The sequence below is a fragment of the Homo sapiens genome, chromosome 2 (genome assembly GCF_000001405.40).
Source record: "Homo sapiens chromosome 2, GRCh38.p14 Primary Assembly".
Taxonomy (NCBI): Eukaryota; Metazoa; Chordata; class Mammalia; order Primates; family Hominidae; genus Homo; species Homo sapiens.
The window spans coordinates 135,368,086-135,393,956 of NC_000002.12; the positions used below are offsets into that span (position 1 = coordinate 135,368,086).

A 25,871-nucleotide genomic window follows, 5' to 3' on the forward strand; every position below is an offset into this window, starting at 1 on the left:
AATGAGATGTCAAAACTGATAATGTCATCACATGCTAGTCACATTCCTAATTTATTAAATATTATTCATGTCAAAATTTTAAAATGACTTTAATTTTGTAGAATCAGTTGATAAGAGAAAATGCAATACATAATGAACTTCAGAAAAGTTAATGAGAAGGTTATCTAAAAATATCTTCCTAAGAAAAAAATTTCAAATTGGGTTAAGAGTCAAAATAAATGTTATTTGCTATGTACTAATAACTACAACAATAAACAATAAATAATGAAAGTTAGTTTTTAGGAGAAAATGAATATGTTAAGACCAAATCTGGGCTTGATTTTATTTTACTGAAATATTAGTGGCATTAAAAGCAGTGAAAATAGTTCATTAAATTCATGGTTAACATCATGTCATAAACTAATAAGTTAAAATAAAATAACAAAATATTATGAAAATGTTGAAATAAAGTAGTAAATGGTAGGAATCAATATTGAAATAAAAAAGTAAGATAGCTGGGTGACTGTAGTTAATAATAATTTAATTGTACATTTGAAAATAACTACGAGTATAATTGGATTGTTGCAACACAAAGGATAAATGCTTGAGGAGATGGATACCCCATTTACCTTAATGTGATTATTACACATTGTATGCCTGTATCAAAATATCTTATATACCCCATAAATATATACATCTACTATGTACCCACAAAAATTAAAAATTAAAAAAAGACAGCTAACTCAATCCATGAATTAATGATCTATTATAAAATAACCTAAAACGTAAATTTCAAATAAAAATGTACTGAAAAATAGCAGAAAATTTCAGCAGACAGCATTTACTCGTCTTTTCTAATATTATTTATCAATAATAGCCTCAATACCAACATTAACAAAAATAGATAAAGAGTCATTTCATTTTGCCTGTAAACTCACTTAGGACAGAGAAGAAAAAGGCTTTGGAGGGGTGAAAATAAAAAATAAGATGCAGACACATAACTTAAAACACTCTATTAGATTAAGTAAAGGGCCTAACTTGTCTCAGTAGTTGATAACTTTGAGTAACAAAAAAGGTTAAATTATGTTCAGAGTACAATGTTTAAAAAAACAGAAATACATAGAAAGTATTTGAAAAAAATGTTTCTTTCAAAACTGTTACGGTAAAAAAAAAAATGGAATGCCTGGCTATCCTAAAAACTCTGACTCTCTAGAAATATCTCATTTCCTATGGGCTTAAATATATAAAATTTCAAAACAGTAAAACATTGCCATCATTACAAATATATTTTATTAATAGTTTGTTTCTAAATTAATGTTTAAAAAATTGAAAGCAGTATGAGAAGATTAGAACCTGCAGAAAATGTCAAAGATTAAATCATTCTACTGAAAACTTCTGAACCACTGATGAGTAAAATTAGATAAAGGTTAAGAGAAAGAGACACACTTTGCCTCACTATAATATATAAGAAGAGGACACGAAGCTAAGAATCAAGAAAAGTCAATCTTACACTTGTTTTTTTAAAGCAATGCAAGTTTTTTACAAATAAAATATTATACAGAAACTCAACATTTGTAAAGCCGAAAAAGTGAGACCACTATAGCCGAAGTAAGGTGGGGACCTCATAGTCCCATACCCTCAGTCTCAACCTCAGTTCTGTGAAAGACAGTTCTGTGAAACAGGGCTTGCAAATCATTGAGGGTTGCTCAGTCAATAAACTCCTCAATTTTCGTTTTTTCAATGCTGGTTTTCTACTTATTTCTTTTACAAGACCCACTTCCAATCTACCTCCTCCACAAACCCTTCCAACTTAATCAATATGAAATTAATGGTTCCTTCCACAATAGTATCATAGACTTTATATTGTAAACTTCACTTCCAATATTTCCAGTACCCTACATTTTACAGATACCACACAGAGCTATACACCCCCACTCATCCTTACTTGATTAGAGGGAGGGCATGTTTCTTTTTTTTTTTTTTTTTTTAATATCCTCGAAGATCTTTATCTATACACATACAGATAAATAGCTATAATTTTGTGTGTTTTGAGGGACGTGGCTTAAACAAAAACAAGCTCATTTTTTACCTATTGTTCTATAATCTTTTTTTTTTTAACTTTTTTATTTCCATAGGTTACTGGAGAACAGGTAGTGTTTGGTTATATGAGTAAGTTCTTTAGTGGTGATTTGTGAGATTTTGGTGCACCCATCACCCAAGCAGTATACTCTGCACCCAGTTTTAGTCTTTTATCCTTCACCCGCTTCCCACCCTTTCCCCGAGTCCCCAAAGTCCATTGTGTCATTCTTATGCCACTGCATCCTCATAGCTTAGCTCTCAGTTATGAGTGAGAACATATGATGTTTGGTTTTCCATTCTTGAGTTACTTCACTCAGAATTAATAGTCTCCAATATCATCCAGGTTGCTGCGAATGAAGGCATGTTTCTTAATCCATAGTTCTAAGAACTTACCAAACAGAAGACTCAATAATATTTATTTGTTGCATACAGGAGTAAAAGTTAGATTAATCAATGGATACAGGAAAAAAATGGCTTTAAAATGTTTCAGTACAAAGAGTTAAGACTTGTATTGATAACCATCCCTAGCTACTCTACATGAAAAGTTGGGAGCCTTTATGTATATTCTCAGTTGTCCAATTCCCAATACAGATGTGGGAAGAGGCCCATTGATGTGATTTGGCTCTGTGTCCCCACCCAAATCTCACCTTGAATTGTAATAATCTGCATGTGCCAAGGGTGGGACCAGGTGGAGGTAACTGGCTCATGGTGGGGGTTTCCCTCATGCTGTTCGCATGATAATGAGTGAATCTCATGAGATCTGATGGTTTTATAAGCATCTGGCATTTCCCCTGCTTGCACTCATTCTCTCTCTCCTGCCACCCTGTGAAGAGGTGCCTTCTGCCATAACCTTAAGCTTCTTGAGGCCTCTCCAGCCATGTGGAACTGTGAGTCAATTAAACCTCTTTTATACATTGCCCAGTCTCAGGTATTTCTTTACAGCAGCATGAGAATGAACTAACACACCAATAAAGTTGTGGCCTCTTTGGATTTTTAAGTTCTGTCAAAATTTAAGCTCATTACTCAAAAAGGAAAAGGAGGTTACAGGGTGGGATTTAATTTTAACCATTCTTCCCATTTTTAAACAACTGCTAGTCATAAAGAACATTTCACTTAATAAAAACTGGTATGGTAGGAATGTTTGCAACATTTTCTTTACGATGCACTTGGAGGTGTTAATGTATTAATATAATAACAATACTTAGGGTGAGATGATGCTATTAGTGCTTTGTGCTTTTCAAATGCTGATGTGAACTTAAACATTAAATTCCAGGAGGATGCTTTGTGTCTGTATCTATCTGGGTATGGTTTAACTCACCATCACTGCCACCTCTGCTTTTCATTTCGAATTTTGTCTAAGACTATTGAGAGAATACCACAATAACCCAGTTGTGCAAAACAGCAGGAGCTCTCAACAAAATTACATCAGCTTCCAAAGAAATCAGGACAGACTTCTTTAAAATTGAAGATGCAATCAATTGCATTTGTACTCTGCTAGTGGTCAAGATAAATTTTTAGGCTGAGAAATGACTTAAACTTATTTAGAAAACCAAGAATACTCTATGCTAGACATTTTAATAAAGTTTTTGAAAAGATTCCTGTCAAGGGCTGAATGTTTTTTCTCCAAAAAATTCATGTTAAAATCTCTAACCCTGAATGTATCAGGAGGTGGAGGTGGAGGCTTTTGGAGGGAAGTCATAAGGGTGGGGCCCTCATGAACCAGATCAGTGTCCTTTTAAAAGAGACTTCAGCCCACGCACGGTGGCTCACACCTGTAATTCTAACACTTTGGGAGGCCAAGGCAGGCAGAACACTTAAGGCCAGGAGTTCAAGACCAACCATGGTGAAACCCCATGTCTACTAAAACTACAAAAATTAGCCAGGTGTGGTGGCAGGTGCCTGTAATCCCAACTACTCGGGAGGCTGAGGCACGAGAATCACCTGAACCTGGGAAGCAGAGACTGCAGTGAGCCAAGATGGTGCCACTGTGCCAGCCTGGGTGACAGAGCAAGACTCTGTCTCAAAAAAAAAAAAAAAAAGAGACACAGAGAAACTTAAGACTTCAGAAAGCAATCTCACCCCTTCTGCCATGTGACACATCAAGAAGATGGATGTCTATAAACCATCAGATACTGAATCCGTTGGCGCCTTGATCTTAGACTTCCCAGCCCCCAGAACTGTGAGAAATACATATTTGTTTTTTAAGCCACCTGTCTATTGTATTTTTGTTATAGGAGTCAGATGGGATCAAGACAATCCCCAAACCCACTTAAAGGAATATCTGCTACTTTATCTCCATGCTTAGGATAACTGGAGGTGGGTGGTAGAAGGCATGGATCTAATTTAAAGCACTGGTTAAAAGGCCAGGTGCTGGCCAGGCGCGGTGGCTCATGCCTGTAATCCCAGCACTTTGGGAGGCGGATCATGAGATCAGGAGATCGAGACCATCCTGGCTAACATGGTGAAACCCGTCTCTACTAAAAATACAAAAAAATTTGTTGGGCGTGGTGGTGGGTGCCTGTAGTCCCAGCTACTCAGGAGGCTGAGGCAGGAGAATGGTGTGAACCCGGGAGGCGGAGCTTGCAGTAAGCCAAGATTGCGCCACTGCACTCCAGCCTGGGCGACAGAGCGAGACTCCATCTCAAAAAAAAAAAAAAAAAAGCCAGGTGCAGTGGATCACACGGATAATCCTAGCACTTTGGGAGGCCAAGGCAGGATTGCTTAGGCTAGGAGTTTGAGACCAGCCTGGGCAACACAGTGGACCCTGTCTCTAAAAAAAAATTAAAAAATTAGCCTGATGTGGTGACATACACCTGTAGTCCTAGCTACTTGGGAGGCTAAGGCAGGAGGATTGCTTGAGCCCAGGAGTTCAAGGCTGTATTCCAGCCTAGGCGACAAAAGCGAGACTCCATCTCGAAAAAAAAAAAAAAAGCACTGGTTACTGATAGACAAGACCTCCATTTGTCTAGGTGATGAGATCTTTTCTTTTTTCTGACTAGTTCAAGTGATCTTAAGTCAACATAAAGAATAAATTAATAAAAATTCATTCATTTGTTCAGGAGACATTAACTAGAAATACATTCTCAGGCACTGTGGTAAGTACATATGGCTCCTAGGAGTTCCAATCTGTGGAGAAAACCAGACAAGTACGGTAGGATATGATTCAAACTACAGCAGAAGTGAGAGCAGACAGGAACCAAAAGGCAACCAGAGATGGCAATATAGAGGTAGTGATATCTGAAGAATGTTTTGAAGGATTACTTTTTAGATAGACTTGAGAAAAATATGAGACACAGAAGAAGGAAAGGAATTAATCAGAGAAAGAACTACACAGAAATAGTAAAGCATAAAAAGTCATGATGGGCTGGGTGCAGTGGCTCACACCTGTAACTGTAGTACTTTGGGAGGCCGAGGCAGGCGGACCACTTGAGGCCAGGAGTTCGAGACAAGCCTGGCCAACATGGCAAAACCCCGTCTCAACTAAAAATACAAAAATTAGCTGGGTGTAATGGTGCATGCCTGTAATCCCAGCTACTCGGGAGGCTGAGGCATAAGAATCGCTTGAACACAGGAGACGGAGGTTGCAGTGAACCGAGACTGCCCCACTGCAATCCAGCCTGGGTAAGACTCTTGTCAAAAAAAAGAAAAGAAAAGAAAGAGGGGAGGGGAGGGGACGGGAGGGGAAAGAGAAAGAAAGAAGGTCATGGTGTTTGAAAACAAAAGAAAAAGAGCAAGAAAACTAACATTTGTTGGGTATATGAGACATATTCTTCCTATGCTTTACATAAGCAATCCAATGGCAAAAGTATTATTATTGCCTACTTTAAACAAGAGATAATTGAAGCTGAGAGATCAATTAACTGGTCCAGTGTGATGTAAACAGTAATTGGTAAAGATTACAACAAATAGATGGAACTGTCTCTAGAATTTCTGCCAGAGAATAGCAGAAGAAAATGGAAGAAACAGGTAGTGGCTAGCTTGTGAAGTGCTTTACTCTATCGGCCTGTAATCTCAGCACTTTGAAAGGCCAAGGTGGGCGGATCACCTGAGGTCAGGATTTTGAGACCACACTAGCGAACATGCGAAATCCCGTCTTTACTAAAAATACAAAAATTAGCTGGGTGTGGTGGCCAGTTCCTGTAATCCCAGCTACTCAGGAGACTGAGGCAGGAGAACTGCTTGAACCCAGGATTGGGAGGCTGCAGTGAGCTGAGATCACGCCACTACACTCCAGCCTGGGCGACAGAGCAAGACTACACTAAACAAACTAAACTAAACTAAACTTCTGCTCTGTGAAAGACAATGTTAAGAGAATGAAAAGACAAGCCACAGACTGGAAGAAAATATTAAAACATATCTTTTTTTTTTTTTTTTTGAGATGGAGTTTCGCTCTTGTTGTCCAGGCTGGAGTGCAATGGCGTAATCATAGCTCACAGCAATCTCTGCTTCCCAGGTTCAAGCAATTCTCCTGCCTCAGCCTCCTGAGTAACTGGGATTAGAGGCACCTCCCACCACACCTGCCTAATTTTTGTATTTTTGGTAGAGATGGGGTTTCACCATGTTGGCCAGGCTGGTCTCAAACTCTTGACCTCAGGTGATCTGGCCGCCTTGGCCTCCCAAAGTGCTGAGATTATAGGAGTGAGCCACCGTGCCCGACCTAAAACATATCTAATAAAGACTTGTACTTAAAATATACAAATAACTCTTAAAACTCAACAACAAAAAAAGAAACGATTTAAACATGGGTATAAGATCTGAACAGAGACCTCACCTAAGAAGATATGCAGATGGCAGATAAGCATATGAAAAGATCCTCAACAACATAGGTGAATAGAGAATTACAAATGAAAATGAGATACTACTACACATACATTAGAATAGCTAAAAGAAAAATGATAATACCAACGGCTAGTGAGGATGCAGAGCAAGCGGAACTCTCTTTCACTGCTAATGGAAATGGAAAATGGTATAGCTAATACAAAAGACACTTCGACAGTTTCTGTTAAAAAAATATGGTCTTGGCCGGGTGCAGTGGCTCACGCTTGCCACATTCTTCAAAACTGAAGAATGTATTGAAGGATTACTTTTTAGGTAGACTTGAGAAAAATATGAGACACAGAAGGAAAGGAATTAATCAGAGAAAGAACGCTTGCAGTCCCAGCACTTTGGGAGGCCAAGGCAGGTGGATCACCTGAGGTCGGGAGTTCGAGACCAGCCTGACCAACATGGGGAAACCCCATCTCTACTAAAAACACAAAGTGGCCGGGCACGGTGGCTCACTCCTGTAATCCCACCACTTTGGGAGGCCAAGGCGGGCAGATCACGAGCTCAGGAGATTAAGACCATCCTGGCTAACATGGTGAAACCCCGTCTCTACTAAAAATACAAAAAACTAGCCGGGCATGGTGGCGGGCACCAGTAGTCCCAGCTACTTGGGAGGCTGAGGCAGGAAAATGGCGTGAACCTGGGAGGCGGAGCTTGCAGTGAGCCGAGATTGTGCCACTGCACTCCAGCCTGGGCGACAGAGCGAGACTCCATCTCAAAAAAAAAAAAACCCACAAAGTTGGCCGGGGTGGTGGAGCATGCCTGTAATCCCAGCTACTTGGGAGTCTGAGGCAGGAGAATCGCTTGAACCCCGGGAGACGGAGGTTGTGGTCAGCCAAGATTATGCCACTGCACGCCAGCCTGGGCAACAAGAGCGAAACTCCATCTCAAAAAAAAAAAAATATTGTCTTACCATATGTTATGGGTTGAATTGGGTAACTCTCTCCCAAAAGATATATTGAAGTTCTAACCTCTAGTATTTCAGGATATGAAATTATTTATTTAAAAATAGGTTTGCTGCAGACATAAATAGCTAAAATGAGGTCATATTAGAGTAACCTTAATTCAATCTGACCAGTGTCCCTATAAGGGAAGAGGCATAGACACTCTGGGAGAATGGCGTGTGAAGACAGAGGCAGACAATACAGTGATGCATCTACAAATCAAGGATTGCTGGCCTTCACTGGCAAGTAGGACAAAGGCATGGAACAGATTATCCCTCGGAAACATCAGAAGAAACCTACCCTGTTGACACCTATTTCAGACTTCTAGCCTCGAGCTATGAGAGTAAAAATTTCAATTATTTTAAGCCCCCCAGTTTGTGGTACTATCTTATGGCAGCCCTAGGAAACTAGCACACTATATGATCTAGCAGTTTCACACTCCTAGATTTGAAAACCTATGTTGACACAAAAACCTACATGTGAATATGTACAGCAGCTTTATTGTCAAAAACTGGAAGCAATCAAGATGTCTCTTCATCTTTGTGAACGAAAAAACGAACTGTGGTACATCCATACAATGCAATATAAATCAGTGATAAAAAGAAAAGGCTATCAAGCTACAAAAAGACACGGATGAATTTTAAATGCATATTGCTAAGTTAATAAAGCTGGTCTGTAAATATCATACATATAGGATTCTAATTATATGATATTCTGGAAAAGGCAAAACTATGAAATTGTTAAAAATATCAGTGGTTACCAGGGGTTCAGCCCTGGGGGAAATTGAATAAATGAGGCACAAGGGATTGTGTAGGGTAGTGAAACTGTCCTGTATGATACTATAATGATGAATACAAGACATTAAGCATTTGTGAAAATCCATTGAACTTTATCGCATAAAGAGTAAACCTGAATGTACGCAAATATTTTAAAAATAACCGAGGAGGGCAAAGATACCAGGATGGAAAACAAAATGTGATAAAAGAATGTATATGTATTACAAATGTCTGAAATATCCTCACTGGAGGATGTGGGGGAATAAGGTGCTGACCTGAGTAACATTGGAAATGAATGGAGTCTATAAGAATAAAGTCAAAAGGAACTGTACATTACACCATGCTCTAGCCAATAAAGTTCTTTCCCATGGAGGTACAGGTTAACAACTGTGAAACTGCTATTCATGTATACTGGAAATCAGCAATTAAGTAAACAGATGGCAGATGGTGGGACCCACTGTTAGGGTTAAAGATTACAGATACTTAATGTGTGTGCATAGCAATGTGTGTGTACAGCATCTGCAAACCAAGGAATGTCAAGGATTCCTGGCCTTCACACCCTGCTATACATGTACATATATATGTATATCTATGTATAAATACACACACAAGTTAGTATATATAATCTCCTTGCTCTATAAGCTGATAGAACCTAGAAGGACACCCCTGGAGAAATGGAGCACCCAGGTCCTCATTCTAGTATCGATCTTCAGTAAAATGAAATTAGTTTTTTTTTGAAAAATGACTGATTCTAGACTGGGACAAGAAATGCATAGATGAGCCTGAAGCATCCTGTAGTACCAGAAAGTAAGAAAATGCTCAAAAACCCAAACCAAAACAAAAAACTTCTAAAATGAAGGGGTTATGTCAAAGGGACACAGGAGTGGGTTCCCAATTGCCAAAGCTGAAACAATTTGAGCAACAAGATAAAGAAAGTAGTAATGAATTTTAACTCAAAGTATACAATTAATATCCATGAGTCCACACTGATACAAATACATGATTAAGTAAATAAATGAATGAATGAATTCCAAATAATTTATGTATTTACTCCAGCTTTGTGATGGTTAATACTCAGTGTCAACTTCATTGGACTGAAGGATACAAAGTATTGATCCTGGGTGTCTCTGTGAAGGTGTTGCCAAAGGATATTAACATTTGAGTTAGCAGGCTGACAAAGGCAGACCTACCCTTAATCTGGTTGGGCACAATATAATCAGCTGCCATGGTGGCTAGAATATAAGCAGGCAGAAAAATGTGAGAAGAGAGACTGGCCTAGCCTCCCAGCCTGTATCTTTCTGCTGTGCTAGATGCTTCCTGCCCTGGAACATTGGACTCCCAAGTTCTTCAGTTGTGGAACTAGAACTGGCTTCCTTGTTCCTCAGCCTGCTGATGGCCCATTGTGGGACCTTGTGATCATGTGAGTTAATACTTAATAAACTCCCCTTTATATATGTATCTATCCTATTAGTTCTGTCCCTCTAGAGAACCCTGACTAACTCAAGTTTAAGAAAGTAAAATACATCCAGGCACAGTGGCTGACACCTGTAATCCCAGCACTTTGGGAGGCTGAAGCAGGCGGATCACTTGAGGTCAGGAGTTCAAGACCAGACTGACCAACATGGCGAAAGCCGGTCTCTACTAAAAATACAAAGATTAGCCAGGTGTAGTGGTGGGTGCCTGTAATCCCAACTACTCAGGAGGCTGAGGCAGGAGAATTGCTTGAACCCGGGAGACAGAGGTTGCAGTGGCCGAGATCACGCCATTGCATTCCATCCTGGGTGACAGAGTGAGACTCCATCTCAAAAAAAAAAACAAAACAAAAACGTAAAACACAACTCTCCATTCCTAAAGTATGGGCTGTGAATAGTTACTTTCTTCCCAAAAATTCAGTATAAAAAAAGGGGGGGAAATGAGTAACTATACAGTAACAAAACCTGGCAAACACTACCTTAAGCCAGGTGATTGGGATTAACATTAACAGTGATAAATCATATTGATAGTATGCATACTTTGTATGATGTGATGACAATAGCACTTCACCTCTATGGTCTTCCCCCAAAAAACATATTCCCCAAGTATAACCACAAGGAAAGTACCAGTTGAATTCCAATTAAGGGACATGCTACAAACTACCTAACCACTAATTTTCAGAACTGTAAAGGTCTTCAAAAACAAACAGTGTGTGAGAAATTGTTACAACCCAGAGAAGCCTAAAGAGACATTGCTAATATGCAGAGTAATGTGTTTCCTGGATGGAATCCTAGTTTTATTTTTATTTATATATTTTTTAAAAGGACATGAGAGAAAAACTGAGAAAACCTGCATAAAGTATGGTCTTCAGTTAATAATAATATATGAATATTGGCTCATTAATTGAGACAAATGTACCATACTAATCTAAGATATCAATAATAGGGGAAACTGGGTGTGGGGTATACAGGAACTCTGTAATATCTTTGTAATAATTCTATAAATCTAAAATTGTATTAAATTAAAAATTTTTTTAAAAGAGCACATTCAAAAATAATAAAGTTGGACTTAGAAACAAGGAAGTAAGCAGGCAGGTGACACTGATTTAAAGGACTACCGTGTAGTCTCACCAACACACACTTTTAATGCTATCACCTTCATTCTAACTTCACTGTCTTATTCCTTTGAGCCCTATGTCTTCCAAATTCTTCTGTCCTCAAGAATACTGTCTCAAAAATAGAAAGTCTGGTACCTGGGGACTGTAATGTAATTGACAGTGAGAGTTGGAGCTGAATCACTCCAATTATTTCACTTGAGGTCAAATATCAGGTCCCGGCATCTTCTAGTTATATGTCCTTGGGCAATTTAATTAACCCAGAATTTCATATCCGGCCAAACTAAGCTTCACAAGTGAAGGAGAAATAAAATCCTTTACAGACAAGCAAATGCTGAGAGATTTTGTCACCACCAGGCCTGCCTTACAACACCTACTGAAGGAAGCACTAAACATGGAAAGAATCAACCGGTACCAGTCACTGCAAAAACACACCAAATTGTAAAGACCATCAATGCTATGAAGAAACTACATCAATTAACAGGCAAAACAACCAGCTAACATCATAATGACAGGATCAAATGCACACATAACAATATTAACCTTAAATGTAAATGGGCGAAATGTACCCATTAAAAGACAGAAACTGGCAAATTGGATAAAGAGTCAAGACCCATCAGTGTGCTGTATTCAAGAGACCCATCTGATGTGCAAAGACACACATAAGCTCCAAATAAAGGGATGGAGGAAGATCTACCAAGCAAATGGAAAGCAAAAAAAAAGCAGGGGTTGCAATCATAGTCTCTGATAAAACAGACTTTAAGCCAACAAAGATCAAAAGAGTCAAAGAAGGCCATTACATAATGGTAAAGGGATCAATTCAACAAGAAGACTTAACTATCCTAAATATACATGCACCCAATATAGGAGCACCCAGATTCACAAAGCAAGTTCTCAGAGACCTACAAAGAGACTTAGACTCCCACAAAATAATAATGGGAGACTTTTAAAACCCCACTCACAATATTAGACAGATCAGCAAGACAGAAGGTTAACAAGGATATCCAGGACTTGAAGACAGCTCTGCACCAAGCGGACCTAATAGACATCTACAGAACTCTCCACCCCAAATCAACAGAATATACATTCTTCTCAGCATCACATCGCACTTATTCTAAAATTGACTACATAATTGGAAGTAAAGCACTCCTCAGCAAATGTAAAAGAACAGAAATCACAATAAACTGTCTCTCAGACCACAGTGCAATCAAATTAGAATTCAGGATTAAGACACTCACTCAAAACTTCACAACTACATGGAAACTGAACAACCTGCTCCTGAATGACTACTGGTTAAATAGTGAAATAAAGGCAGAAATAAAGATGTTATTTGAAACCAATGAGAAAAAAGACACAACGTACCAGAATCTCTGGGACACATTTAAAGCAGTGTGTAGAGGGAAATTTATAGTACTAAATGCCCTTAAGAGAAAGCAGGAAAGATCTAAAATTGACACGCTAACATCACAAGCAAAAGAACCAGAGAAGCAAGAGCAAACAAATTCAAAAGCTAGCAGAAGGCAAGAAATAACTAAGATCAGAGCAGCACTGAAGGAGACAGAAACACAAAACACCCTTCAAAAAATCAGTTAAGGGCGGTTCCAAGATGGCCAAATAGGAACAGCTCCAGTCTACAGCCCCTAGCATGAGCGACGCAGAAGAGGGGTGATTTCTGCATTTCCAACTGAGGTACTGGGTTCATCTCACTGGGGATTGTGGGACAGTGGGTGCAGGACAGAGGATGCAGTGCATTGAGCGTGAGCCTAAGCAGGGTAAGGCATCACCTCACCTGGAAGCGTAAGGGATCAGGGAATTCCCTTTCCTAGCCAAGGGAAGGGGGTACAAATGGCACCTGGAAAATTGGGTCACTCCCACCCTAATACTGTGCTTTTCTGACCGTCATAGCAAACGGCACACCAGGAGATTATATCCCATGCCTGGCTCGCAGGGTCCTACGCCCACGGAGCCTAGCTGATTGCTAGCACAGCAGTCTGAGATCGAACTGTAACACAGCAGCAAGGCTGGGGGAGGAGCGTCCGCCATTGCTGAGGCTTGAGTAGGTAAACAAAGCGGCCTGGAAGCTCGAACAGGGCGGAGCCCACGGCAGTTCAATGAGGTCTGCCTGCCTCTGTAGACTCCACCTCTGTGGGCACTGCATAGCCGAACAAAAGGCAGCAGAAACCTCTGGAGACTTAAATGTCCCTGACAGCTTGGAAGAGAGTAGTGGTTCTCCCAGCACACAGCTGGAGATCTGAGAACGGATAGACTGCCTCTCACGTGGGTCCCTGACCCCTGAGTAGCCTAACTGGGAGGCACCCCTAAGTAGGGGCAGACTGACACCACACATGGCCGGGTATCCCTCAGAGATGAAACTTCCAGAGGAACGATCAGGCAGCAACATTTGCTGTTCACCAATATCCACTGTTCTGCAGACTCCGCTGGTGATACCCAGGAAACCAGTCTGGAGTGGACCTCCAGCAACTTCCAACAGACCTGCAGCTGAGGGTCCTGACTGTTAGAAGGAAAACTAACAAACAGAAAGGACATCCACACCAAAACCCCATCTACATGGCACCATCATCAAATACCAAAGGTAGATAAAACCACAAAGATGGGGAAAAAACAGAGCAGAAAAACTGAAAATTCTAAAAATCAGAGCGCCTCTCCTCCTCCAGAGGAACGCAGCCCCTCACCAGCAACAGAACAAAGCTGGACGGAGAATGACTTTGACGAGTTGAGAGAAGAAGGCTTCAGACGATCAAACTTCTTCGAGCTAAAGGAGGAAGTACGAACCCAATGCAAAGAACTTAAAAACCTTGAAAAAAGATTAGACGAAGGGCTAACTAGAATAACCAATGCAGAGAAGTCCTTAAAGGACCTGATGGAGCTGAAAACCATGGCACGAGAACTACGTGACGAATGCACAAGCTTCATTAGCCGATTCGATCAACTGGAAGAAAGGGTATCAGTGATGGAAGATCAAATGAATGAAATGAAGCGAGAAGAGAAGTTTAGAGAAAAAAGAATAAAAAGAAACGAACAACGCCTCCAAGAAATATGGGACTATGTGAAAAGACCAAATCTATGTCTGATTGGTGTACCTGAAAGTGACGGGGCGAATGGAACCAAGTTGGAAAACACTCTGCAGGATATTATCCAGGAGAACTTCCCCCATCTAGCAAGGCAGGCCAACATTCAAATTCAGGAAATACAGAGAATGCCACAAAGATACTCCTCGAGAAGAGCAACTCCAAGACACATAATTGTCAGATTCACCAAAGTTGAAATGAAGGAAATGTTAAGGGCAGCCAGAGAGAAAGGTGGGGTTACCCACAAAGGGAAGCCCATCAGACTAACGGCGGATCTCTCGGCAGAAACTCTACAAGCCAGAAGAGACTGGGGGCCAATATTCAACATTCCTAAAGAAAAGAATTTTCAACCCAGAATTTCATATGCAGCGAAACTAAGCTTCATAAGTGAAGGAGAAATAAAATCCTTTACAGACAAGCAAATGCTGAGAGATTTTGTCACCACCAGGTCTGCCCTAAAAGAGCTCCTGAAGGAAGCACTAAACATGGAAAGGAAAAACCACTACAAGCCACTGCAAAAACATGCCAAATTCTAAAGACCATCGAGGCTAGGAAGAAAGTGCATCAACTAACGAGCAAAATAATCAGCTAACATCATAATTACAGGATCAAATTCACACATAACAATATTAACTTTAAATGTAAATGGGCTAAATGCTCCAATTAAAAGACACAGACAAACTGGCAAATTGGATAAAGAGACAAGACCCATCAGTGTGCTGTATTCAGGAAGCCCATCTCAGTGCAGAGACTCACATAGGCTCAAAATAAAGGGATGGAGGAAGATCTACCAAGCAAATGGAAAACAAAAAAAAAGGCAGCAGTTGCAATCCTAGTCTCTGATAAAACAGACTTTAAACCAACAAAGATCAAAAGAGACAAAGAAGGTCATTACATAATGGTAAAGGGACAAATTCAACAAGAAGAGCTAACTATCCCAAATATACATGCACCAAATACAGGAGCACACAGATTCATAAAACAAGACCTTAGAGATGTAAAATGAGACTTAGACTCCTATACAATAATAATGAGAGACTTTAACACCCCACTGTCAACATTAGACAGATCAACGAGACAGAAAGTTAACAAGGATATCCAGGAATTGAACTCAGCTCTGCACCAAGCGGACCTAATAGACATCTACAGAACTCTCCACCCCAAATCAACAGAATATACATTCTTCTCAGCACCACACCTCACTTACTCCAAAATTGACCACATAGTTGGAAGTAAAGTACTCCTCAGCAAATGTAAAGGAACAGAAATTATAACAAACTCTCTCTCAGACCACAGTGCAATCAAACTAGAACTCAGGATTAAGAAACTCACTCAAAACCACACGACTACGTGGAAACTGAACAACCTGCTCCTGAATTACTGGGTACATAATGAAATGAAGGCAGAAATAAAGATGTTCTTTGAAACCAACGAGAACAAAGACACAACATACCAGAATCTTTGGGACACATTTAAAGCAGTGTGTAGAGGGAAATTTATACCACTAAATGCCCACAAGGGACAGCAGGAAAGATCTAAAATTGACACCCTGACAACACAATTAAAAGAACTAGAGAAGCAAAAGCGAACACATTCAAAAGCTAGCAGAAGGCAAGAAATAACTAAGATCAGAGCAGAACTGAAGGAGGTAGAGACACAAAAAACCCTTCAAAAAATCAACGAATCCAGGAGCTGGTTTTTTGAAAAGATCAACAAAATTGATAGACCACTGGCAAGACTAATAAAGAAGAAAAGAGAGAAGAATCAAATAGATGCAATAAAAAATGATAAAGGGGATATCACCACCAATTCCACAGAAATGCAAATTACCAACAGAGAATACTATAAACACCTCTACGCAAATAAACTAGGAAATCTAGAAGAAATGGATAAATTCCTTGACACATACACTCTCCCAAGACTAAACCAGGAAGAAGTTGAATCTCTGAATAGACCAATAACAGGCTCTGAAATTGAGGCAATAATTAATAGATTAACAACCAAAAAAAGCCCAGGACCACATGGATTCACAGCCGAATTCTACCAGAGGTACAATGAGGAGCTGGTACCATTCCTTCTGAAACTATTCCAATCAATAGAAAAAGAGAGAATCCTCCCTAACTCATTTTATGAGGCAGCATCATCCTGATACCAAAGCGTGGCAGAGACACAACAAGAAAAGAGAATTCTAGACCAATATCCCTGATGAACATTGATGCAAAAATCCTCAATAAAATACTGGCAAACCGAATCCAGCAGCACATCAAAAAGCTTATCCACCATGATCAAGTCGGCTTCATCCCTGGGATGCAAGGCTGGTTCAACATATGCAAATCAATAAATGTAATCCAGCATATAAACAGAACCAATGACAAAAACCACATGATTATCTCAATAGATGCAGAAAAGGCCTTTGACAAAATTCAACAGCCCTTCATGCTAAAAACTCTCAATAAATTGGGTATTGATGGGATGTATCTCAAAATAATAAGAGCTATTTATGACAAACTCACAGCCAATATCATACTGAATGGGCAAAAACTGGAAGCATTCCCTTTGAAAGCTGGCACAAGACACGGATGCACTTTCTCACCACTCCTATTCAACATAGTGTTGGAAGTTCTGGCCAGGGCAATAAGGCAGGAGAAAGAAATAAAGGGTATTGAAATAGGAAAAGAGGAAGTCAAATTGTCCCTGTTTGCAGATGACATGATTGTATATCTAGAAAACCCCATCGTCTCAGCCCAAAATCTCAAGCTGATAAGCAACTTCAGCAAAGTCTCAGAATACAAAATCAATGTGCAAAAATCACAAGCATTCTTATACACCAATAACAGACAAACAGAGAGCCAAATGGTGAGTGAACTCCCACTCACAATTGCTTCAATGAGAATAAAATACCTAGGAATCCAACTTACAAGGGATGTGAAGGACCTCTTCAAGGAGAACTACAAACCACTGCTCAATGAAATAAAAGAGGATACAAACAAATCGAAGAACATTCCATGCTCATGGGTAGGAAGAATCAATATTGTGAAAATGCCCATACTGCCCAAGGTAATTTATAGATTCAATGCCACCCCCATCAAGCTACCAATGACTTTCTTCACAGAATTGGAAAAAACTAAAGTTCATATGGAACCAAAAAAGAGCCTGTATTGCCAAGACAATCCTACACAAAGAAAAACAAAGTTGGAAGCATCATGCTACCTGGCTTCAAACTATACTATAAGGCTACAGTAACCAAAACAGCATGGTAGTGGTACCAAAACAGATATATTGAGCAATAGATCGGGAACAGAGGTCTCAGAAATAACACCACACATCTGCAACCATCTGGTCTTTGACAAACCTGACAAAAACAAAAAATGGGGAAAGGATTACCTGTTTAATAAATGGTGATCAGAAAACTGGCTAGCCATGTGTAGAAAGCCGAAACTGGATCCCTGCTTTACACCTTATACAAAAATTAACTCAAGATGGATTAAAGACTTGAATGGTTTTAGACCTAAAACCATAAAAACCCTAGAAGAAAACCTAGGCAATACCATTCAGGACAGAGGCATGGGCAAGGACTTCATGACTAAAACACCAAAAGCAATGGCAACAAAAGCCAAAAGAGACAAATGGGGTCTAATTAAAGTAAAGATCCTCTGCAAGGCAAAAGAAACTACCATCAGAGTGAACAGGCAACATACAGAATGGGAGAAAATTCTTGCAATCTACCCATCTGAGAAAGGGCTAATATCCAGAATCTACAGAGAACTCAAACAAATTACAAGAAAAAAACAAACAACTCCATCAAAAAGTGGGCAAAGGATATGAACAGACACTTCTCAAAAGAAGACATTTATGCAGCCAAAAGACACATGAAAAAATGCTCATCATCACTGCTCATCAGAGATATGCAAATCAAAACCATAATGAGATACCATCTCACGCCAGTTAGAATGGAGATCATTAAAAAGTCAGGAAACAACACATGCTGGAGAAAATGTGGAGAAATAGGAATGCTTTAACACTGTTGGTGGGAGTGTAAACTAGTTCAACCATTGTGGAAGACAGTGTGGTGATTCCTCAGGGATCCAGAACCAGAAATACCATTTGACCCAGTGATCCCATTACTGGGTATATACCCAAAGGATTATAAATCATGCTACTATAAAGACACATGCACACATATGTTTACTGGGGCACTATTCACAATAGCAAAGACTTGGAACCAACCCAAATGTCCATCAATGACAGACTGGATTAAGCAAATGTGGCACATATACACCATGGAATGCTATGCAGCCATAAAAAAGGATAAGTTCGTGTCCTTTGCAGAGACATGGATGAAGCTGGAAACCATAATTCTCAGCAAACTATCACAAAGACAGAAAACTAAACACCGCATGTTCTCACTCTTAGGTGGGAACTGAACAATGACAACAATTGGCCACAGGGCAGGGAACATCACACACGGGGGCCTTTCGGGGGTGGGGCCCTGGGGGAGGGATAGCATTAGGAGAAATACCTAATGTAAATGATGAGTTGATGGGTGCAGCAAACCAACATGGCACATGTATACCTATGTAACAAACCTGCACGTTTTGCGCAGGTACCCTAGATCTTAAAGAATTAAAAAAAAAAAAGGAAAAGAAAAAGAAAAAGATAACAGTGAAAAGATACCGAAAGAAGGGGGAATAATACTAGTGAAGGACGTCATTTGTTTCTAAAGCTAGGGAGAAAAGATCACAGCAGACAGCTAAAGTACACAATACTCCAAGTGAGTATTCAAGAGTTTATAAAAAAAAAAGTAGGTTCAATAACACAGATGTAAAATTGCTCTCCCAAGGCTTTTCACTATTTGATGAGTCAACAGTCATCACATGAAAATCTATTTTTAATTTACAAATCAAAAAGTGGTTGACCTTTAAATTATAAATTGTACTTCCTTCTCTGGCTTCACCACTGTTTTATAATAAAAGCAAGAGAAGGAAAACCATATTAGAAAACAGAATGAAGGTAGAGTTCATATAATTTACATATATAGAAGTTCTTTTTACTTCAGCACATTTAATTTATTAACTTTCATCCACACTGGCATGGTAAGATTCCATAAAAATAGCAGTCCAACTCTACCACTAAATAGATTATTAGTGGTTATGAGCTGTGATCTTACGTCTTGTATGTCATTCTGTTTATTTCTATGGCCTGATTCTTGTATTCATGTATAAAGTTGAAGATTTTTTCTTAATCAACATTATAAATAGGATATAACATCATAAACCCTGTCAAGTCAAATAGGTGTAAAATAATGGGTCTTCAAAAATGCTGGTGAAAAGAGAGAAGTAATTAAGTAATTATGATGGACAGGAAGGTGGAAGTTTTTTTTAAGTATTGAGGAAATATTAAACGGATTTTGCAATGTATTTAATTAAAAAGTAAGAATGGTTTTGAAAGATGACAACATGTGAATCAGCCAAATGTGAAAAGTGCTATGTAATTGTAAATCACAAGAAATGGAAAAGTGATTTGTATAACGGGAACACTCTTGCTGGCTAAGGGTTCATGACCTCTGCATACTCGTTAACTGAGGATAAGGGTGTGTTAGAGAATATAAGAGTTAAGAAGGTGTCTTAGTCTGTTCTCACACTGCCAATAAAGACATACCCGAGTCTGGGTAATTTATAAAGGAAAGGGGTTTAATTCACAGTTCCACATGGCTAGGGAGGCTCCACAATCATGGTGGAAGGCGAAAGAGGAGTAAGGTCACATCTTTTACACTGCAGCATGCAAGAGAGCGTGTGCAGGGGAACTCCCATTTATAAAACCATCAGATCTCGTGAGACTTACTGGCTATCATGAGAACAGCATGGGAGAGACCCACCCCCATGATTCAACTATCCCCCACTGGGTCACCCCTCCCATCACATGTGGGAATTATGGTAGCTACGATTCAAGATGAGATTTGGGTGGGGACATAGCCAAACCATATCAGAAGGGTTATGGTGCAGATCAAGTGTTTATCTGAATCCATGGTGAATTCCATAGATTTAAGGTGCATCTAGATTTCTACAACATCAAAATGAGGACCAAAGTACCAATGGTGTACCATAACTGCTAAGATTTTTCACCATGACTTACTTGTGGAAATCATAAAGGATGCTGTTTGTTACCTTTTATAATATATTTTCTGTGGACCTCAGCTGGTCTGTTTGGAAAAGAATTTATACACATGCATATACATATATGACATATATGTTCTATACATGTATATATATAAGAGGAAATAGTTATGGCTAGTCTTGAGGTTTTGGAGAATGAGTTCATATTTCTATTTGTTGAAAACATATTCAAGGACTAAAAACGTAAGCCTCTTTCAGTCATTTGGACTCTCAAATTAATTAATTTATGAAGAGCCATTTAGAGCTCATCCTGTTTTAGGCCGGGCACGATGGTTCACACCTGTAATCCCAGCACTTTGGGAGGCAGAGGCGGACGGATCACCTGAGGTCAGGAGATTGAGACCATTCTGGCTAACACAGTGAAACCCTGTCTTTACTAAAAATACAAAAAATTAGCCGGGTGTGGTGGCAGGTGCCTGTAGTCCCAGCTACTCGGGAGGCTGAGGCAGGAGAATGGCGTGAACCTGGGAGGCGAACCTTGCAGTGAGTCGAGATCGTGCCACTGCACTCCAGTCTGGGCGACAGAGCGAGACTCCTTCTCAAAACAAGAACACAAAAACAAACCAAAACAAGCAAACAAAAAACAACAAAAGAACTCATCTTGTTTCAAAAGAAAAATTTCTGTTTATTGTTTCCCAAATGTCTATGTCTTGTTTCTCCAATTATATCGCTAAAGTTCTTCACTGGCAATGACTCTTTTTCTAATTATAACATCTAGTCTAAATAAACACCTATTGAATGAAAGAAGAGTTCAAACTAAAAAATTAGGTCATTATAAATTAGCATGAACTATGAACCCCTATATCAACATTTCTGTATAGGACTCATGTTATTCCTTAAATAAATCCTTAAATTCTCTATTCATGTTTTCCTTAAAAACAGACTACAGGCCAGGCACTGTGGCTCACGCCTGTAATCCCAGGACTTTGGGAGGCTGAGGCGGGTGGATCACGAGGTCAAGAGACGGAAAACACCTTGGCCAAAATGGTGAAACCCCTTCTCTACTAAAAATACAAAAATTAGCTGGGCGTGGTGGTGCGCGCCTGTAGTCCCACCTACTGGGGAGGCTGAGGCAAGAGAATTGCTTGAATCCGGGAGGCAGAGGTTGCAGTGAGCCGAGATCGTGCCATTGCACTGCAGCCTGGGCGACAGAGCCAGATTCCGTCTCAAAAGAAGAGACTACAGAGATAAGCCATTGGTGGGAGTCTATATGCAAGCAAAACTAAATCATAATTAATTGGGAGAAGTTTTTGATGATTCCACTTTTATTTTTTAACAATTCAGTTTCCATTTCCTTCATTTCTAATATATTTTGAAAAGTGTATGTTTTGCTGTTATTCTTTTTTTTTTTTTTTTTTTTTTGAGACGGAGTCTCACTCTGTCGCCCAAGCTGGAGTGCAGTGGCATGCTTTCGGCTCACTGCAAGCTCTGCCTCCTGGGTTCATGCCATTCTCCTGCCTCAGCCTCCTGAGTAGCTGGGACTACAGATGCCTGCCACCACGCCCGGCTAAATTTTTATATTTTAATAGAGATGGGGTTTCACCGTGTTAGCCAGGATGGTCTCAAACTCCTGGCCTCATGATCCACCTGCCTCGGCCTCCCAAAGTGTTGGGATTACAGGCGTGAGCCACTGCGCCTGGCCGTTTTGCTGTTATTCTTAAAGACATAATGAAAAACAGCAACACATTTCTCAAACGGTTGTTAAAAATTAGAACTTTATTGACTTACATTAGTCTGAGAATGTACACAAAGAATATCATAGTTCATGTAACAAGAGCCTCCATTTCAGAGAGAAAACACGAATAGGGATACATATAAGCACATGCCATTTAAATCTATCAGATTGTTGAGTGATAATAAAATACCATTTCAGAACTATGTTTCAAACTCATAGGAAACAATAAACAATAACCTTTAGAACAGAATCTTTAAAGTTTAGCTTTTAAGCAAGTACTATTATAACAGAAAAGCTTTTTGGGGGGCTGCATTTCAAAACTCATTCATGCATCCTAGGTAACAATTTGGGGTCACTAATGTTAATATTAACATATGTATCAGATGCATGTCTAGAAAACACACACACACACACATTCATTCATTCTCATTCTCTCTCCCCCTCCCTCCTCACCCTCCCATCTTTCTCTCTCTCCCCATCCCCATATACAGACATATAGTCATATGGAGAAAGAGTACATGGAAAATAGCAGACACTAAAAACAAGCTGTGTAATCTTATAAAAGACATAAAAACCATTGAAACACTTACTTCATCAGCCACCATACACCTGGAAAAAAAAAAAAAAAAAAATTAATTATCAGAGTGAACCTTTTTCCTTTTTTTTTTGAGATGGAGTCTCGCTCTGTCACCAGGCTGGAGTGCAGTGGTGCGATCTCAGCTCACTGCAACCTCTGTCTCCCAGGTCCAAGTGATTCTCCTGCCTCAGCCTCCTGAGTAGCTGGAACTACAGATGCGTGTCACCACGCCCATCTAATTTTTGTATTTTTAGTAGAGAAGGGGTTTCACTATGTTGCTTAGGATGGTATCGATCTCTTGACCTCGTGATCTGCTCGCCTCAGCCTCCCAAAGTGCTGAGATTACAGGCGTGAGCAACTGTGCCCGGCCAAAGTGAACCATTTTTAAAGTTCTGATTAAGTAGCTTGCCAGAAAATAGTTCATAAATACTAAAGTAGTAAGCCAGAGAGAGGTGTTTATAAGTATGAGAACATGGGCCAGTGCTGATTTTATATGACTCTCCAGCTGCCAAAGGCATATGGCTACGTGGGAGTGTTAGAGCTTCAGATGTGCTGTTCCCACAGCCCACCCATGAAGATAGTTACAATGACCCTTCAAAAACGTGAGCAAAGTGGTAAGTGATTGTACCAATGACCACCCTCCTCATCCTTAAACCTTAAGATTGGTCTTCCCTATAAAGAGAAGAATGCTGCATTAAAATATAAGAAAATAAGTGTGAATTACATATTAGCATAAGTTAAATACATAACTATATATGCTAAGCCTACCTTTAAGATGAGTTTTTATTTCTTTCTTTTTTTTTTTTTTTGAGACGGAGTCTCGCTCTGTTGCCCAGGCTGGAGTGCAGTGGTGCGATCTCCGCTCACTGCAAGCTCTGCCTCCCAGGTTCATGCTATTCTCCTGCCTCAGCCTCCCGAGTAGCTGGGACTACAAGCACCTGTCACCACGCCAGGCTAATTTTTTGTATTTTTAGTAGAGACGGGGTTTCACCGTGTTAGCTAGGATGGTCTCGATCTCCTGACCTCGTGATCCACCCACCTCGGCCTCCCAAAGTGCTGGGATTACAGGTGTGAGCCACCGCGCCTGGCCGCTGAGTTTTTATTTCTATTACTTTGCTAAACTTTCTTTTCTCAGTTCTTTCTTATTAACCTGTATAAATAAATTCTATGCAATGATAATTGAGGATGGGGGCATAAACTCAAGTATTAAGTAGCAGAAAAACAAGGGGCAAAGGGAAAGAATAGCAGGCATGGTCAGGATCATCGGGTGTTCCTTTGAGACAGCAAACATATGATAAGGGGTAAAACTAATCCCTTAAGTGAGGATATTTCCAGACAACCTAAAAAAATAGCTGGAATATTATAAAAATTGGCAAGAGGCCAGGTACAGTGGCTCATGCCTGTTATCCCAGTGGCTCAGGAGGGTGAGGTAGGAGGATAGATTGAGGCCAGGAATTGGAAGCCACACTGAGCTATGATTGTCCCACTGTACTCCAGCCTGGACAACAAAGGGAGACCCTATCTCTAAAACAAAACAAAACAAAATGAAAATACAAAAAAAAAAAAAGGGGGGGGGGGCAGGAAAAAAACTTTTTCTATTTTATTGTTCCTTTATTCCCAGTTGTCTTGATATCATATAATCTTATAAGATTTATTTCTATATATAAAATACAAATCATGGCCGGGCACGGTGGCTAACGCCTGTAATCCCAGCACTTTGGGAAGCCGAGGTGACTGGATCACCTGAGGTCAGGAGTACGAGACCAGCCTGGCCAACATGGTGAAACCCTGTCTGTACTAAAAGTAAAAAATTAGCCAGGTGTGATGACGCACCCCTGTAGTCCCAGGTACTTGGGAGGCTGAGCAGGAGAAACACTTGAACCCGGGAGGCAGAGGTTGCAGTGAGCCAAGATCATGCCACTGCACTCCAGCTTGGGCAACAGAGTGAGACTCCGTCTCAAAAACCACAACAACAACAACAACAACAAATTAAGCATTTGGAGTAAATAAATTACCAATGAATGCATTACAGTTAAATGAAAATGAAATTTCATTGTTCAAAAAGATGTCAGCTTACCCAATAAATATGTTTTTTGGTTTTTTTTTTTCTGAGACAGTCTCCCTTTGTCACTCAGGCTAGAGGGCAGTGGCACAATCACGGCTCACTGCAGCCTTGACCTCTAATGATCCTACCACCTCAGCCTCCAAAGTAGCTGGGACTACAGGTGTATGCCACCACACCCAGCTATTTTTTTTATTTGTAGAGACAGGGTTTCACTATGTTGTTCAGGTTGGTCTAGAACTCCTGGACTCATGTGATCCACCCACCTAGGCCTCCCAAACTGGTGGGATTATAAGCGTGAGCCACTGCACCTGGCCCCAATAAATATCTTTACAAAAAATAAAATTCAAATACTTTAATTGAAAATTAAAACATATATAAGAGTAAAAAATTTATTACATTCTTTGTAAACAAGCCAACAGATTAGAAAACTAAAAAGCAATACTTGGAAAAACATGATTTTTTTTCCAGGAAGATTCATGTATAGATTTCAAAGCAAAACGAGAACATGAACTTTTTTTTTTTAAGATGATCATTATTGACAGCTAAATAAATAGACTGGAAGATGCAGTACGTGGATTATCTTAAAGCACAGAACAGAAAGCAAAATAAATGGAAATACTGAAGGAATAGAAAGACTTGAAAATAGTCCCAGAAGACCTATTTTACAAAAAATAGGTGTTCAAAAAGAGAAAAAGCACCAGATGGAGGAGAGGCAACAATTAAGTAAATAATAAAGGGAAATTTCTCTGGGCTGGCTTTTGGTGGATAAGTGAAAAGGGAAACCAAGTTTCAGGATGGATTAAAGACAAAAGACAAATATCTATTATACCCTTGTAAAATTCATTAATTTTACAAATAAAGAAAAAATCTTCTAAGTGTCCAGAAAGAAAGAACAATTATCCATAAAGAGAAAACTAGGACTGGTACTGGTCTAATCATCAACTCTAGAAGCTAGAATAAAATGCAACAGGATCTAAACTAACTGAAACGAAAAGCAGCAGAAGTTATTAACCTTTTTTTTTTAGATGGAGTCTCACTCTGTTTTCCTGGCTGGAGTGCAACGGCACGATCTCGGCTCACTGCAACCTCTGCTTTCCAGGCTC

General features: G+C 39.7%; 1 protein-coding gene across 3 annotated transcripts in view; it reads right to left on the reverse strand.

Moving 5' to 3' along the window:
• Positions 1–25,871, reverse strand: part of ZRANB3 (zinc finger RANBP2-type containing 3) — a 334,250-nt gene that overhangs the window by 171,117 nt on the left and 137,262 nt on the right. For all 3 annotated transcript variants that reach the window (NM_032143.4, NM_001286569.1, NM_001286568.2), the window contains exon 3: positions 22,717–22,735. In NM_032143.4, the coding sequence (NP_115519.2) occupies positions 22,717–22,735 (19 nt within the window). The remainder of the gene's footprint in view (positions 1–22,716; positions 22,736–25,871) is intronic.